This window comes from Homo sapiens, chromosome 12, assembly GCF_000001405.40.
Source record: "Homo sapiens chromosome 12, GRCh38.p14 Primary Assembly".
NCBI classification, from domain to species: Eukaryota; Metazoa; Chordata; class Mammalia; order Primates; family Hominidae; genus Homo; species Homo sapiens.
Window position 1 is genome coordinate 82,744,170 of NC_000012.12, and position 15,971 is coordinate 82,760,140.

General features: G+C 37.4%; 1 protein-coding gene across 6 annotated transcripts in view, besides 1 other annotated feature; it reads left to right on the top strand.

Moving 5' to 3' along the window:
- Positions 1-15,971, top strand: part of TMTC2 (transmembrane O-mannosyltransferase targeting cadherins 2) — a 447,961-nt gene that overhangs the window by 57,264 nt on the left and 374,726 nt on the right. Inside the window, exon 2 of one of the 6 annotated variants that reach the window (XM_017018884.3) lies at positions 12,814-12,957. The exons of 4 other annotated variants lie outside the window; for them this stretch is intronic. The gene's annotated coding sequence lies outside the window, so the exon portion shown is untranslated. Of the gene's footprint in view, positions 1-9,174; positions 12,958-15,971 lie in introns of those variants that run through there. One more of the 6 variants, XM_024448863.2, reaches the window with a different exon arrangement.
- Positions 12,113-12,657: an enhancer, noted in NCBI's record as "OCT4-NANOG hESC enhancer chr12:83150061-83150605 (GRCh37/hg19 assembly coordinates)". NCBI's record gives its function as "activates a minimal SCP1, AML or CMV promoter by ChIP-STARR-seq in naive H9 embryonic stem cells {active_cell/tissue: H9 hESC(naive)}" and the evidence as "EXISTENCE:reporter gene assay evidence [ECO:0000049][PMID:30033119]".

The window sequence follows — 15,971 nt, forward strand, 5'->3', positions numbered from 1 at the left end:
CCAGCACTTTGGGAGGCCGAGGCGGGCGGATTGTGAGGTGAAGAGATTGAGACCATTCTCGCCAACCAACATGGTGAAACCCCATCTCTATTAAAAGTACAAAAATTAGCTGGGCGTAGTGGCACATGCCGTAGTCCCAGCTACTCGGGAGGCTGAGGCAGGAGAATCGCTTGAACCTGGGAGGCAGAGGTTGCAGTGAGCCAAGATTGTGCCACTGCACTTCAGCCCGGTTGACAGAGCGAGACTGTCTCAAACAAAAAACATTAGCTGGGCATGGTGGCACACAGCTGTTGTCCTAGCTATGTGCCAAGACATAACTGAGGGGCTGAAGCAGAGGATCACAAGTTCAGGGCTGCAGTGGGCTGTGATTATACCACTGCACTCCAGCCTGGGCGACAGAGACTCTGACTCTAAAAAAAAAAAAAAGAGTGAAGGCAGCAAGGGGTGGACAGGGACACATCTGCCAGTTATTTTAAAAATATTTTTATTTATAGAAATAACATAAAGTTTTATGGAACTCTGGCCAGAAACCCTCCACTTAGATTTCTTTGCATGGAATTATGTCACGTGTTGACCCCTCTCTAAAAGTTGCCTCTGGCAGGGGCTAGCAGAAGGTTGCTGCAGACAACCAACAGTATCCCACATACATAGTAAGCAACAGCTTAAATAGCTACTTTCCCTATGGAAACTTCAGTCTGAAAAAGCCCTCTACATGTATCTTTCAGAAAATAACTTTTCAAGTTAATGAAACTACTAACTTAATTTCTGAAGGGAAGTTTATAGTTTTATTTGGGGGGAGGATTTTGATGCTTATTGGCTTTTCTTTGTTGTCAAAGAATGTATACAAAAGATATTGCTATTTCAGGTCTGGATTGAAGAACTCCTCAGAATATAAATCCTTGTTTTATTGCTGGAAGGAAAAAAGCAGAATAAGGCACGAGTTAGCATCTTGAAAGACACAACAGGGATTTATTTTCCCTTCTCTTCGTGTGTGTGCCCTTTAATTTTTTCATTCCTCAAGCAGAACTCAGGCAACCCCAAATTAAAGCAGTTCAGGACGTACATCACATGATGATTACATTGTATCTGGCTGTTCTGGAGATGGACAGATAACAGTTGTTGTAGAAAACCTTTTGTAGTGTCTGAAAAGACAACTGTCACAAAGAATGCTGTAACTCCCCTGTGTTACAAGATAAAGTTAAATTAGATCAGCTGAGGTTCTTTACAGGTAGTGATCTCTTTAGTGGTATTTGAAATGTGTTGACTGAACAGAACTAGAGTGTCCTAAGTGAAGTTTTGTTATCCATGGGAGCCTGTTGTAAATGCCACAGTGTTGTGATGTATGTTTAACTAATTTCATGTTCTTTCGAAGCTCCTGTTCAGTAGCTTAAAATGTTCATTACCAGTAAACATTGTACATTAGCAGACAAGAGCCTAGAGAAAACACCACTTACCCTTTGGTAATGGACAAATAGATAATAGTGGAAGATGAGAATTAATTGTCTTTATGCAGGTGTCACATCAGCCTGCAATAGAACAGGATTATTTATGCTTTCAAAAAAATACCATTGTGCTTTTATGAGATACAGAGCAGGCAAATAGCTGCTAAAGAATAAATTATTTGAATTGGTATTAATGTGGTGACTTAATTCAGAGCATCGAGGAATATAATGCACGTTTCTAACACCCCTCCCCTTTTTCTTAAATTCAAGAAGTACTGCAAAATGATTGAGACTTCAGAATTAGGAACTGTGGCAGAACGATTTGTTCTTTTATCCTGCTTTTTACGTGGGCAGTTTGTTTGCTTATCAGCACTCTTGAAGGTGCTGATCCTAAATTGTCAGGCCTATTGGTCCTGGCTGGAGAGAGCATTGTTTGCCTTATTGTGAGAGTGAAAGCATTATGGAATACATTTAAGAATTTTTATATAGAGGCCTTCATTTGTCTTAGAATTATTCAGTGATACAAAGAGCTTTCATAGCTGTTACTGGACACTAGAATACTAAGAACTGCATGTATATTCAAGAAATATTTTTGCCCATTTGCTCACTTATTCAGCTTTTGATTTGCCTCTGGCATTTTTGTATTGAGACAACTAACATCAACATCTTGTCCATAGGTCTAATAAAGCATGTCCTTTGAGTTAGGTATATATTTCATTTTTATCTTGAGTGCCAGGGCTCAATTAATAGTAGTATTTGGCACTGTGCATGTTTTTGTCTACTGGGAAGTATTTCATTTAATTGAACACATATTTATGGGATGCATCATATTTCAGCACTCGTGTGTATAATGGGGTACAAAGAAGACTATGGCTTTGAGCTTTGTGAGGGACATACACCCACATGAACCTTCCTTTCTCTGCCCCCCATCTGCCTCCAAAACACATTGTAGGCAGAATTCTAAAGAAGAGAAGCTAGGGTCCTGTCCCCTGGCTATTCAAACCTGAATCCAGGCCCTATTGCAAAGGGACTTCGTAGATGTAATTAAAGTCCCAAATCAGTTGGCCTTAAGATATGGTGATTGTCCAAATGGGCATGACCCAGATGGATAAGCAAACCATTCAGAGAGTTTTCTCTAGCAACGGCAGAACAGGAAGCCAGCGATATGCAAAGCCTGAGAAGGACTCTACTCACTCTGCTATTGCCAGTTTGAAGACAGAGGAGGGCCAAATGAAAAGGAATGTGCACAGCCTCTAGAAGCTGACAGTGGCTCCTGGATGGCAGCCAGTAAGGAAATAAGGACATCAGTCTTGGAATAGCAAGGAAATGGAATTTGTCCAACAACTTGAATGATCATGGAAGTAGATTCTTCCTTAAAGCTTCCAGATAAGAGCCCAGTCTGGCCATTACCTTGATTTTGGCTTGATGGGGCTCTAAGCAAGAGAACCCACCTGAGTTATTGCTGAGTTTCTGACCTACAGAACTGTGAGCCAGTGAGTTTGTTTTGTCCTAAGCCTCTACCATTGTGGTGACTTGTTATACAACAATGGCAAACTAATAAACACACACAGAGTGATCATTTCCTTTATACCAGGATATATGAGAGGTGCTAATTAATTTCAGTTTTCAGGACCAAAAAGAAAAGGTTTAGATAATATTAACAGGATTTTAAATTTACTACAAATATCTTCATTTTATACATGAGAAAATAGAAGTTCAGAGAAGTTAAGGTTTTATCCAAGATTTTAGATCTGGCTAGTGGCAGAGCTGGGATAGAAGCTTGTCTCCTGATTCAAGGTTCAGCATTTTTTTAACTGTATCTTACTATGGTGCATAATGACTTCCAGCTTTAAATTGGAACCAAAGTGTAAAAAAGCTAAATAATGGTAATTTCTCTGTCATAATGCCAAGTGTAATGAAGGAAAGAAATGGAAGAAAAAGGTAATTTCAGGAAAGCATTATTATTTTTTGTCTAAAGATTTTAGAGCATGGAATTGAGTGCATTGCTTTGACTTACTCGTTAGGCAATATAGAAGCATTCATACCTTCAATGGAGTATTGTTCCTTCTAACAATATCGACCCACTGCTGAATTCTTCTAATGATGTTGCTATTATTTGGCATATCATGGGAGTAGCTTTTTTACTTAAATACGTTTAGCACTTTCTTTTTAGCAACTATTTGATTGGGAGGATTAATATGATATTGTTTCCAGTAGCTTGTAGATAGTTCTAATATGAAGAATCAGATTTGGTGATCATCCTGAATAATATAATAAACACCAGTTGGGCTAGTATATAAGAAAATTGGGCTAGGTAATATAACCAAAAGAAAATACTGGTGTTAAGTATTAAGTTGGACTTTCTTATTTGTTTTCTAAATTCAATCTAATTAACCGTAGTTTTTAAAAAAAGTTTAGGCCAGACGCGGTGGCTCACGCCTGTGATCCCAGCACTTTGGGAGGCTGAGGCGGGTGGATCACGCGGTCAGGAGATTGAGACCATCCTGGCTAACAGGGTGAAACCCTGTCTTTCCTAAAAACACAAAAAAATTAGCCAGGTGTGGTGGCACGCACCTGTAGTCCCAGCTACTCAGGAGGCTGAAGCAGGAGAATTGCTTGTACCCAGGAGGTGGAGGTTGCAGTGAGCCGAGATCACACCACTGCACTCCAGCGTGGGCGACAGAGTGTGACTGTCTCAAAGAAAAAAAAAAAGTTTAGAAGTCATTTTGGAGCAATGTTGGCATGACTGGAGTGAGTATCCCATCTCTTCTGGTAGGTAGTTAAATACAGTATGCGCTTTGGAGGGAATTGAATCCCAGCTTGGCAACTTACTAATGGTATGATGGTGTACAAATTACTTAATCTCTTCAGACTCCAGTTTCTTCACGTGTAACATGGAGACTAATAGTATTAACTTTATACCTGTCACATAAGAGGTACTCCCTAAGCAAATGAACTGAGTGGATTAAATACATTAGTGGGGGCCAGACTCGGTGGCTCACACCTGTAATCCCAGCACTTTGGGAGGCCAAGGCGGGTGGATCACCTGAGGTCAGAAGTTCAAGACCAGCCTGATCAACATGGTGAAACCCCATCTCTACTAAAAATACAAAAAATTAGCAGGGTGTGGTGGTGCATGCCTGTAATCCCAGCTACTTGTGAGGCTGAGGCAGGAGAATCGCTTGAACCTGGGAGGCAGAGGTTGCAGTGAGCCAAGATCGTGCCATTGCACACCAGCCTGGGCAACAAGAGCAAAACTCCATCACAAAAAGAATCACACACATACACACACACGTATGTATGTGTATATATGTATGTGTATCTCTATATATATGTGGGTAAGCTTCTTATATATAAACCTAATACATAGTTTGTGCTACGCATTGTTTGTCTCTTAAAATGTTTTTAGTGGTAGTTAAATGATATGTTCAGGTTTGATGAATAAGTGTAGCTTCTTGTTTTACTTGACCCCAATAAATAGAATTCCCCAGTGAATCTTATCCTTTGCTTATTTCACGTCAAATATGTGCATAGCACCTCTTTGACGGTGGCTCAGAGTATGTTTGCTGACAACTGGAGGAGTTAAAGTGGGTGGTTCTCTGTTTTTATAACCTTCTTTTCCTGCCTTGGGGACACACGTTACCCAGAATCACACTGGCTTCTCCTGAGTATGCTAAACTCTTTTAATTTAGACTGCTTCTACTTTAGAAACTAATACTCACACATTTGTATTTACACTATGAGAAAACAAAATCCTTGCCCTCGTAGACTTACATTCTCATGGGAGACATGGGAAGCAAACAATTTTTTTACTTGCTTGGTGTCTCTCACCTGAGTTTAAAAATCTGGACACAGCTCCACTTTGTAGATTTGATGCTTTTTTGTTTTTTTTTAATTTGGTATAAAAGCTGTACTGTGATTGTGAGACACAGCCTCAGCACAAAGAACTGAATGTCTTCATCCCTATTGGTCCAGGTGGGCTCCTATTCTCTTGGTCTCTTGCAGCCTTACTTGTTCTGTGGCTCCTCAGAGCAGATATAAGCAGTAGCAATGCTAGTGCTTCAGGAACAAGGGTAAAGATTGTGTTAACAGATAGAAACTGTTTGTTTTTCTTTCTTTCTTTCTTTCTTTTTTTTTTTTTTTTGAGGCGGAGTCTCGCTTTGTTGCCTAGGCTGGAGTGCAGTGGTGCCATCTCAGCTCACTGCAACCTCCGCCTCCCGGGTTCAAGCAATTCTCCTGCCTCTGCTTCCCAGGTAGCTGGGATTACAGGCATGCACCACCACGCCCGCATAATTTTTACATTTTTCGTGGAGGTGGGCTTTCACCATGTTGGTCAGGCTGGTCTTGAACTCCTGACCTCAGGTGATCCACCTGCCTCGGCCACCCAAAGTGCTGGGATTCCAGGCATGAGCCACTGTTCCCGGCCCATGAAACTTTGTTTTTCAATCCTGTTTTGAAGATGGAAGAGAAGGGTTCTCACAGAAAAACATACAGTAGCCAATTCGGATATTTCTGTGATGGCTCACTACATACTTATTTGTAGTTTTTTTTCTCATTCCTTTAATTGTATTTCATTCAAATTTTGAAGTTCCTCTTTTGTTTTATACCACTGAACTCTAAAAGTTTAATCTTTTTTTTTTTAATACAAAGAATGATTGATTTTAAATACTTTCTACAATGCTGGCCATATCAAGCAGCTTTCTATAGAAACTAGCATGCTTGTTTAAGATGAAGAGAAGAGATGGCCCTGGATGTCTTTTCCTCATGTTTTTGAGAAGTGACCTCAGGTTTGGCATTTCTTTAGGGGCTTAGAGGATCTTGTTGGCAATTGGCATTCTGCACTCTGTTCTCCGCACCCAGTACCTCCAGGGGATAGAGATTGCATCAGAAATAATCAAGTTGATTATTTTATGATAATAGCTGATATGTAGAGAGGTTTTTTTAAAAACCTAACGGTAAGTGCTTTGTATGAACTGGCTTATTTAATTTTCACAGTGCTGTGAGATAATAATAGCTATCGTCAGTCCTGTGAGATATTATTATTAATCCTGACTTTATGTCTATTGTCTCTCCTTGTTTCAGACACTATACAAAGTGCTTTATAGGTATTATTTTTCTAATTCCTCCCCAAAGTCTTCTGAAATATCCCACTAGAATATAAGCTGTATGAGTGTTATGACTTTTTCTTCTTCTGGGCTAAATTCTGGGAGAGCATTTAGTATAATACCTATTGCAGGATAGGTGCTTAGTAAATAGTTATTGATTGAACAAATTCCAGTTTTTTTTGAACGAGGAAACTGTTAAGAAAAGTTAAATAACTTGCCCAAGTTCAAGTGATGAAGCTGGGAATTACACCCAGGCAAGCGTGACTTCAGAGCCTGCAACCTTTATCTTTGTGTTATGAGAGTTATTTTTTCTTTGTTAACAAATTTCTGGGATAATGTTGAATTCTGAGGCAGAATGATGTGTTAAACTAGGTTTCTAAAATTAAATATATACACAATAGCAAAGACTTGGAACCAACCCAAATGTCCAACAATGATAGACTGGATTAAGAAAATGTGGCACATATACACAATGGAATACTATGCAGCTATAAAAAATGATGAGTTCATGTCCTTTGTAGGGACGTGGATGAAATTGGAAATTATCATTCTCAGTAAACTATCACAAGGACAAAAAACCAAACACCGCATATTCTCACTCATAGGTGGGAATTGAACAATGAGAAGACATGGACACAGGAAGGGGAGCATCACACTCTGGGAACTGTTGTGGGGTGGAGGGACGGGGGAGGGATAGCATTAGGAGATATACCTAATGCTAAATGACGAGTTAATGGGTGCAGCACACCAGCATGGCACATGTATACATATGTAACAAACCTGCACATGGTGCACATGTATACTAAAACTTAAAGTATAATAATAATAAAATAAAATAAAATAAAATATATAAAGTTATTTTGGAAACTTCAAATTTTTGAAATTTGTAAATTGTCACTTAATGGGAAAGGTTTTAAGGTTTACAATGGCTAATAAAGAAATCATGGATAATGGTAATGTTGCTGGTTCATGGGAGGTGAGTATATTAACATTCATATGAATGTATGTGAATATTAAGATTCTCTGATACATTCAATGTTTGTAGTCTTTTTAAAGAAGGAAAATAGTGTGGAAAAAGTATCTGGAATTGTATGTTGTGTGGAATCTGAAATATTTTTTCCATATTTACATATTTTGGATGGTTCCAGTTAAACAGTTTTGTGTTAAAGGATGAACAAAATGCCAAAGTATTTATAAAAGGAGTGTGTCAGTCTACACTGCCTCTCGATCATTGTGAACATGTACTTTATTCAGACCAATATTATTGGCTATTGGTGTTTAAACGCATTGACATTTTTATATGGGAAAAATGCCATTCCATTAGTAATTTGCAGTCTGTATTTAACATCTTTCCAAATAGTTGTTAAATAGATACATTATCCCTCTCCCCCATAGACTGTCAACTATGTTTTTATATTTATTGGAAGCTCCTTTTTTTTTTTTTTTTTTTCTGAAGGCTTTCTCGTTGCTTATAAGACTCTCAGGCTGGGTGCGGTGGTGACTCACGCCTGTAATCCCAGCACTTTGGGAGGCCAAGGAGGGCAGATCACCTGAGGTCAGGAGTTTGAGACCAGCCTGGCCAACATGGCAAAACCCTGACTCTACTAAAAATACAAAAAATTCGCCAGGTCTGGTGGCTGGCGCTTGTAATCCCAGCTACTTGGGAGGCTGAGGCAGGAGAATCACTTGAACTTGGGAGGCAGAGGTTGCAGTGAGCCGAGATCATGCCATTGCACTCCAGCCTGGGCGACAGAGCGAGACTCCATCTCAAAAACAAAACAAAACAAAACAAAGAATCTTAGGGCTGGAGTTACCCTGAGTGACGATAGGGGCGCTGTTTATAGTCTTGGGAGCATAAACTGGGGAGTGGCGATTCTTTTGGTAAATTGGCTTAGAGACTTCATAAAGACCAACTACCACCTCCAGCAAATTAATCTTAAAATAGGCCTATATAGCTGCATAACATCATCATGTATCTTAGTGGACATGAGTAAACATCTAGGATGCAGAACTTTAAAGACAAATGTGTGCTGTATTTGGGGTTTGCTTTAAATAGGGACAGTGAACTTCATAAATAATCAAGATTTTTAGGGAGCTAGGTTTAGCAACACATTGAGTCACATCTCTTCTGTCTTCTGTTTATCCCTGCTCAGCTGTGCCATGGAGTAGCACAGCTGGCTTTAAAATATCCAACATCAGGTGTCACTGTCTTGCTTTTATTAGACCCCTAGGCTAAAATCACCTTGATCACTTGTTCCTGCTGTTCTCGAGGGCTGCTACAGTGAGAATTTCTCTCTCTTGGTCTTTTCATCATCTTTTTGAATGAGCGGCTCTCTTAAGCCAATAAGATAGAAATATATACCCTGTTGACCTTGTGGCTTTTCTTTTCTGTTAAAGAAGCATTCAGGCAGATACCAGATATATGAGGCGGTCCTTTCAGCTGCTCATCTTTTCCACTCATCACTTTTGCCCTCCTACCCTCAGGAGCCAGGTCATTCTCCGTAGGTGAGCTGTGTAAAATCTATTTTATAGACGTATATAAGGAGAAAATAATTTATTTCTGCAGTCTTCATATTGTCATGCCAGTATGCTAGCTGAAAACATAATGGCTTTTTTTTTTTTTTTTGAGGAGAAGTTTTCTGGTTTTTTAGCAAAAGAGACTGACCATGTGTAAACATTCTTTAAACTGTTTCCTCACTGTGGTTTTACTGTGTGGAGGGCTAAATTTTAAAAGTAAATATAATGTTATAACAATTTGCTTATTACCAGCAAGTTTTTAATATTGACCAATGTTTTATGTATTGGGTGGCTTAATGGTTTTAACTGGAGAAAACTGATTAGGAAGACAGTTATTCACTTCTGTTTGCTGAACTGGAAGGAAGTCATAAAAAAAGAAAACTTCAGAAGCTGACTTTTTTCAAAGAAGATATGAGAAGTTTAGATATAACTTGTGAAATTTAGGTCTCTCTCATGAGATTGCCAAAGGCACAGTTAAATTCTCTGGGAGGCCCAATTGATTATTGTGTAAAGCTGTTTAAATTTTCAAGGATCTTCTAAAATGCATTTCTAGTTTTTGATACAAAAGTTAATTGATTTCAGATGTCAGCTTGTGTCTTATGGTGATGAAAGTGGTTGAGGAAATACAGGTAAAAATAAAGCGTACTATATTAATTGGAAAACATTGATGGAGTTGGAGCTGTCATTGAGTGGATTCTCTAGGGAGTCTTAGTAGGTCACGTTTTTCCAGGCATTGGGGCATTCTGGGATCCAACAGTTAAATCTGTGAAGGGACAAATAGAGATGTCACCAGAATCAGGAGATTGAGATTTATGCCCAAAAGTCCAGATGCTTTCTTGGGAGATACCCCAAAGAAATGATATCTACTAACATTTCTGCCTTTAGTTTATCAGAAAGAAGTTGAGAGAAGATCAGGAATAAGGCATTTCTTATAATAAGAGTAATTGTATTTTTTTGAAGGTACTCCTTTCTTAGTGGCTTCTAGAAATACTGTCATTGATTTTTCATATCAATAGTTTAATTCACTGAGTTAAGAAAACTGTTATTTTTTAAAAAACAAAACAAAACACAAAGAAAAACCCATGGGGTTTTGGGGCTTAGAAACTTTGTGTTATAAGAAGTATAATAGCTATGTTCTGCTAATTTATTTATATAACAAAACTTTTTAAATTAAATATTTGGATTGTAGTAGAGGTACTTGCCTTTAAAAAGTACTTCAGGCCGGGTGTGTTGGCTCATTCCTGTAATCCCAGCACTTTGGTAGGCCGAGGCGGGTGGATCACTTGAGGTCAGGAGTTCGAGACCAGCCTGCCCAACATGGTGAAACCCTGTCTCTACTAAAACGGTACAAAAATTGGCCAGGTGTGGTGCTGGGCATCTGGAGTCCCAGCTACTTAGGGGGCTGAGGTGGGAGAATCGCTTGAACCTGTGAGGCAGAGTTTGCAGTGAGCTGATATTGTGTCACTACCCTCCAGCCTGGGGGACAGAGCAAGACTTCATCTCAAAAAAATAAAAATAAATAAATAAAAGGTACTTCAGCTGAGGCAGTTCATGCAGTAGTGTATCATTTTGGAATGTGGGTAAGCACCCCTGAATTTACATGGCCTGGAAATTTTTTATATTTGATTTTCTCAAAGTGCAGTATAACATACTCATCTCCTTGTGAACAGAAATGTTTGAGGATGGGTTAAATGAACTGTAGAAAGCATCTCAGAAAAAGGTGTTATGCAAGGCATAATTATTTTCCAAGTGCTATCTGAGCAGCTTTCACCAATCAAAGCTTCCTTGAAATAGAGATTACAATCAAAGTTCATCTGTATACTATTGTGTTTGGAGTACATGCCAACATTCCAACTTGAAGTTGCTTTGAGGGAAAAGTTCTTCAAATTCATCAGTGTTGTGGGGAAATGTGATTTAAATTCTGATTACTGGAAGCCTTATTACAGAGGAGGTGGCAAGCAGGTGAGTTGAGCTGTTCAGGATGTCTGTTTCTTATTTGTTCTTTTAAGATATTGCAAAGAAACTGATTGTGGTGTCTATCTGTTGCTAGTTCTTCTCCAGCATCAATTCCCATTTTCTTCTTATAGTCTGGAATTTCCTTTGGGAAACCTCCTATATTCTTTGTCTATGTAGTTCAAGAGGGGCTGCTCACACCCCAACCCATGCTGCAATCAAAAAGGGGTTCATCTGCTGCCCACAGTGACTAACTGATGATTAATTAATCAAAATTGTTCAAATGAAATTCAGTTCCTGGCATTTTTGTTGAAATTATTTAAAAGAAGACTTTACTTTTTCTTCTGGAGTTTTTTTAGCCAATAATAAGCAAGATCACCGGTGTTAGTGGTAGTTCTTTTGCTACCATCACGTTTGAGAGGAAGGCAGAGCTTGGAGCTGGAGATACAGAATCCTGAGGACCTAGTCTGAATACCTGATCAGTTAGGCAAGCCAGTGAACTCTTCTGCTTTGTGTAAACCAGTTTGAGTTGGATTTCTGTCACTTGTAACTGAAATAGACCTGATTGACACACCCTTGTAAGTTTAGTGTCGGAACTGCTTTCACCCCAAGAGCTAACTTTTGTTATATGTATGTCATTGATTTTTGTTGTGGTGGTTGTTGTTAGTATTTTTCTTAAAAAATAAAATAGGGGTTTTTATCATAATAAAAATAGAAATTACTAAATATAAAATGCTGTACTAGGAAAAAAAAACCCTGATATTTGTGCTCAAAGGTGACATCAGATGCCTGTGTCTAGTTTGGGAGTCAGGGTGACAGTACCTCATAAAATAAGTTGAAGGAACATTTCTTCTTTTTGTATTTTGTTAAATAATTTGTAGTTACCTGTTCTTTGAATGTCATAAAATTATCTGTAAAACTATCTAATCATAGGTTGATTATCTCCTTAGTTTTTATTTGGGTATGTTCTACTTTGTTTTTCTAACTTCTTGAGTTGGATACTTAGTATATTTTCTTTATTTACTAAAAAGCTTGTAAAATTATTTTAAAAAATCCTTGTCTCACAATTCTTCTCCTATCAATAATGATTTGAAATTTTTCCATGTATATGAAACACCTCCAAGGACAGATAATGTCCTTGATTAGCAGAGTAGCTGGGTTATTACAGTCTGTCTCAAAGAGTTGAAGGGAAAAGCCTACATATATTCTTTACAAAAAGAGAGGTTAGATGTGCTTGGGAGCAATCATCCTGCCAGTAAAGCTGCGTGAGGGTTTTACCTTACTGATGTGGCCTCCCTGCGTTGGCAGGTATTACTGCTTCCAGATTTGGTCACAGCATGGGACAAAGGAATATACAGACCTCCTTCCTGCCTTTGAATAATTAGCATCAGCAGAGTATCCTGAATAGTGATTAGATATAAACAAAGCAAACAGATAGAGAACCTGGAGAGAGTTAGCTTTTAGGAATGCTTTAGAAATGATCACCAACTCTGTCAAATGTGGAGGCATTTGTGGATTTTGATAGTATTTATTTATTTATTTTGGCCTAGCAGCATTTACTTTTTTTGGAAGACATCCACCCTGTACTGCAAGTGATGGCCCTACTGGCTGTATATACAGATGGGCAACTACGATTCCAAATATCACACAGCTATAGTAGGGTTCACCCAAATGGAGCCCTTTGCCTCCAGGGTCTTTTTCTTCCTGTGAAGAGAATTTGAATCAGTGCTCTAGTGGTAATAATACAAATATTGCTATCTTAGAAGTACTTAAACCTCTATATTTTCTTATTCCAGGTGGTTTTCCTGAAATCAAACTCTGATTTCCAGGGATAAAAAGACAACACGTGAAAAACCCCTGGTATTCTCAGATTTGACATGACTTTCACTGTATACATGGCTTTAACTCTATTTAATAGAATGTTCCTGTGAAGCTGAAAAGTAAGTGGATCCTGTTTTTGACTTAGTGGTAGAGCTTGCAGTTTAAATAATTCCACTGGGAATCTATTAGGAAGCAAATGAGAGCCTCCTCCAGAGATCTTTGAGAGAGGCTTAAGGAAGCATTCCTCTGTTATTTGTTGTGCTATGTTCATCTGGTTCTAAGTCAAGATAAATATTGCTTCATTTGTATAGTTGTTTTCTTTTGCAATTTGCTCATGAGTGAAATCTCTTTAAAACGTTAACATTTGATTAAATATACTTGAATGCTTACAAAGAGTTTTTCATATAATTTATCTTGTTTATCTTTATAGCAACATTAAGGGACTGGTAGATATTTATGTTCCTCTTGGTGAGTTCATTGAAGAGCAATCTGAGGCTTTATATAGGTTAGGAAATACACTTTTTATATTTTGGGAATCCAGCCTGTACAGTGCTTATTATCACCATTTCTGCAGTTATGAGGTTACTCTTGAAGACAAGAAAATATTTATTAATGAATTTTCAAATTGCTCCTTATTTGTATATTTCTCTCTGCTTAATGCTACCAACATTTCCACTCTTTGGCATCAAGTGTTGATAATTCTTTTACTGTCTTCTGTGAATATCTCAAAACCACATGCAAATGCATTGCAAAATGCACAGTCAGATTTTACATCTTGCAAAGGATGCAGGATTCCATGAAGTCAGGGAAAGTGGCTCAGTAAGATCTGCATTAACATATAAACCCCTAGGCAAATTGGTATGGCAGGATTGGATCAGGCAATTATCACCATAGATAATGACAAGAGAAGCCCTTCAAGAGTCTGATTGAAATATCAAAGGATTACGTGAGACTCTTGGGAAATCAAAACCCTTGACTATTTTTGGCAGAAACAGTGTTTTTGTTCAGATTTTACTGTAAGTTGTATGAAGTAAGATTTGTGTGGTCCTGTTATCACTTAAGAAATATAAATTTTACCTTATTTTATATTTATAAAAGAATATGAATAACCTGAATATCTGTATACTTCTCCCAGATATCATATTTCTGTCTCTACTATGAAAATCTGGAATTCTGTGTTTATTCTCCAGTTTTTTAAAAAGTAGTTTTACCCTGTATGTGTATATTCCTTTATTTAGATATGCATGGTTTTGAGCTTTATAAAAATGTTATTGATCTCTATGAAGCCTCCTGTCATTTGCTTTTTAAAACTCAATATAATGTTTTAAAAAGTTATCTTTGTTGTAGTATGTAGCTCTGTTTTATTCATTTGTACTGCTGTATAACATTCTACAATATGACTCACAATATCAAAAAATGGTGTGGATTCATGGAGTTTCTTATGTATTGCTGGTATGAGGATAAGTTGGTATAAAACTTTGAAGAACAACTTGGCATTCACTTCTAAAGCCATTTCTGCAGTTCCATTCCTAGGCATAGATCCTGTATCTAGAGTTATCAATCTGAATTATAAATTTTGTAAAATTATTCACAAAAGCACTTATTTTGTAAGTGTAGTGTAGAATGTTAGATGTATGACCTATAATTAATTCCATTAATCCTCAAATAAAACTGTGGAATCATTTTCCTTTCAAACAGCAGTTTAAATTCAAACTGTATTACCATTAGCATAAGAATAGCTTTTAACAATAATTAAAATCCTAATGGTATCATGAAATAATTTTAGTTTAGTTATCCTTTTGATGTAAATATTTATCCAGTGGGAGAACCTGATTTGTTAAACATTTTATATGAATTTGATTTGAGAAATGCACAGCACCATATAAATATATCACTGTAGGAGGCAGTGTAGCCATAAGGAAAACATACCGGATTGAGTGTCAAGAACTGGTGTCTGTATGGTGCTGTACTGCACAAGCTTCATATGACCTTAATTTCCGAGCATCAGTTTCATCATTGGTTAAAAAAAAAGAGATGACAGTATCAGACTTGCCTCACGGCTGTCTGCCAATTAAGTGAATTAGAAAATTATTTTCAATTATATAGTGCTGGGCAAGGTGAATGATTGCTATTACTGTTGTCATCACTGTTGTTTGAAGCACTGTGCTTTGGGAAGCAAATCTGGTTCACATCTTTTGAACATTTAAATGAAGAGAATGTGTCTCAGTGCTCTAGTGTGTATTAAAACAGCCTTTTAACAAGAATGTTTTGAACCCTGCCCAATACCTGCACATGCTTTTGTTAATACTTCATTACATAAAATGACCAAGAAGCTGTCATAAGAATTTAAAGGAACATTTACCCTCATCTTTAAAATGTATCTTAAAAGAGAGATAAGATTCTAATTACAAATTTTGAACAGTTTATTTTCTCTCTATGAAAAATTTCCAAGAATGATACAAAAGCACTTTTATGTGAAGAGGATACACTGGAACATTGAGGTCTTGATCTCATTTTAGTAACTCTCTGATGTGATTAATTCATAAGCACTGAGTTGTAGCTCATTCCTTCTGGCAAAATTCCAGCACTTGATTGTTACCTTATAAACTTTTAATAAGAGTAATTTTAAAAACTGCACTTGACTCTTGCTTTATGAAAAGCTGGAAATGTAAAAAGTTAAAAATGCTTGACAATTTTTCTGAGCTCTAGTCAGAAACAGTGGCTATGCCCTTTTATAGATGACAGCCCAAAGGCGAGTTTGTAAAACGATAAATAAATTGTAAAGATCTATCGAGTGGCAACTTGGATGGTTTAATGCCTATGGGTTAGAAACCCAGGAGTTAATGTTTAAAGTGATTTGGATAAATGTGAACATGTTTAAATCTTTAGTATTATTCCTTTAAGCCAAATGTGAACGATAGTTATTTTGACAAAGTTTGGGTTACCTCGATAGCCTGATTTTTACAGAAGTACCGTGTATCTCAAATTGTTAACTGATGAATGGGTGGTGCTGCTGGATTATTTCCTGTGTTTTGTGTTTTTCTTAGTTTTAATTTCTTTGTTATTCAAGTTATACTATCACCTCGTCCAAAGTTGGGTCTCAGGATTAGATTAATAAACTAACCAAGTAAAT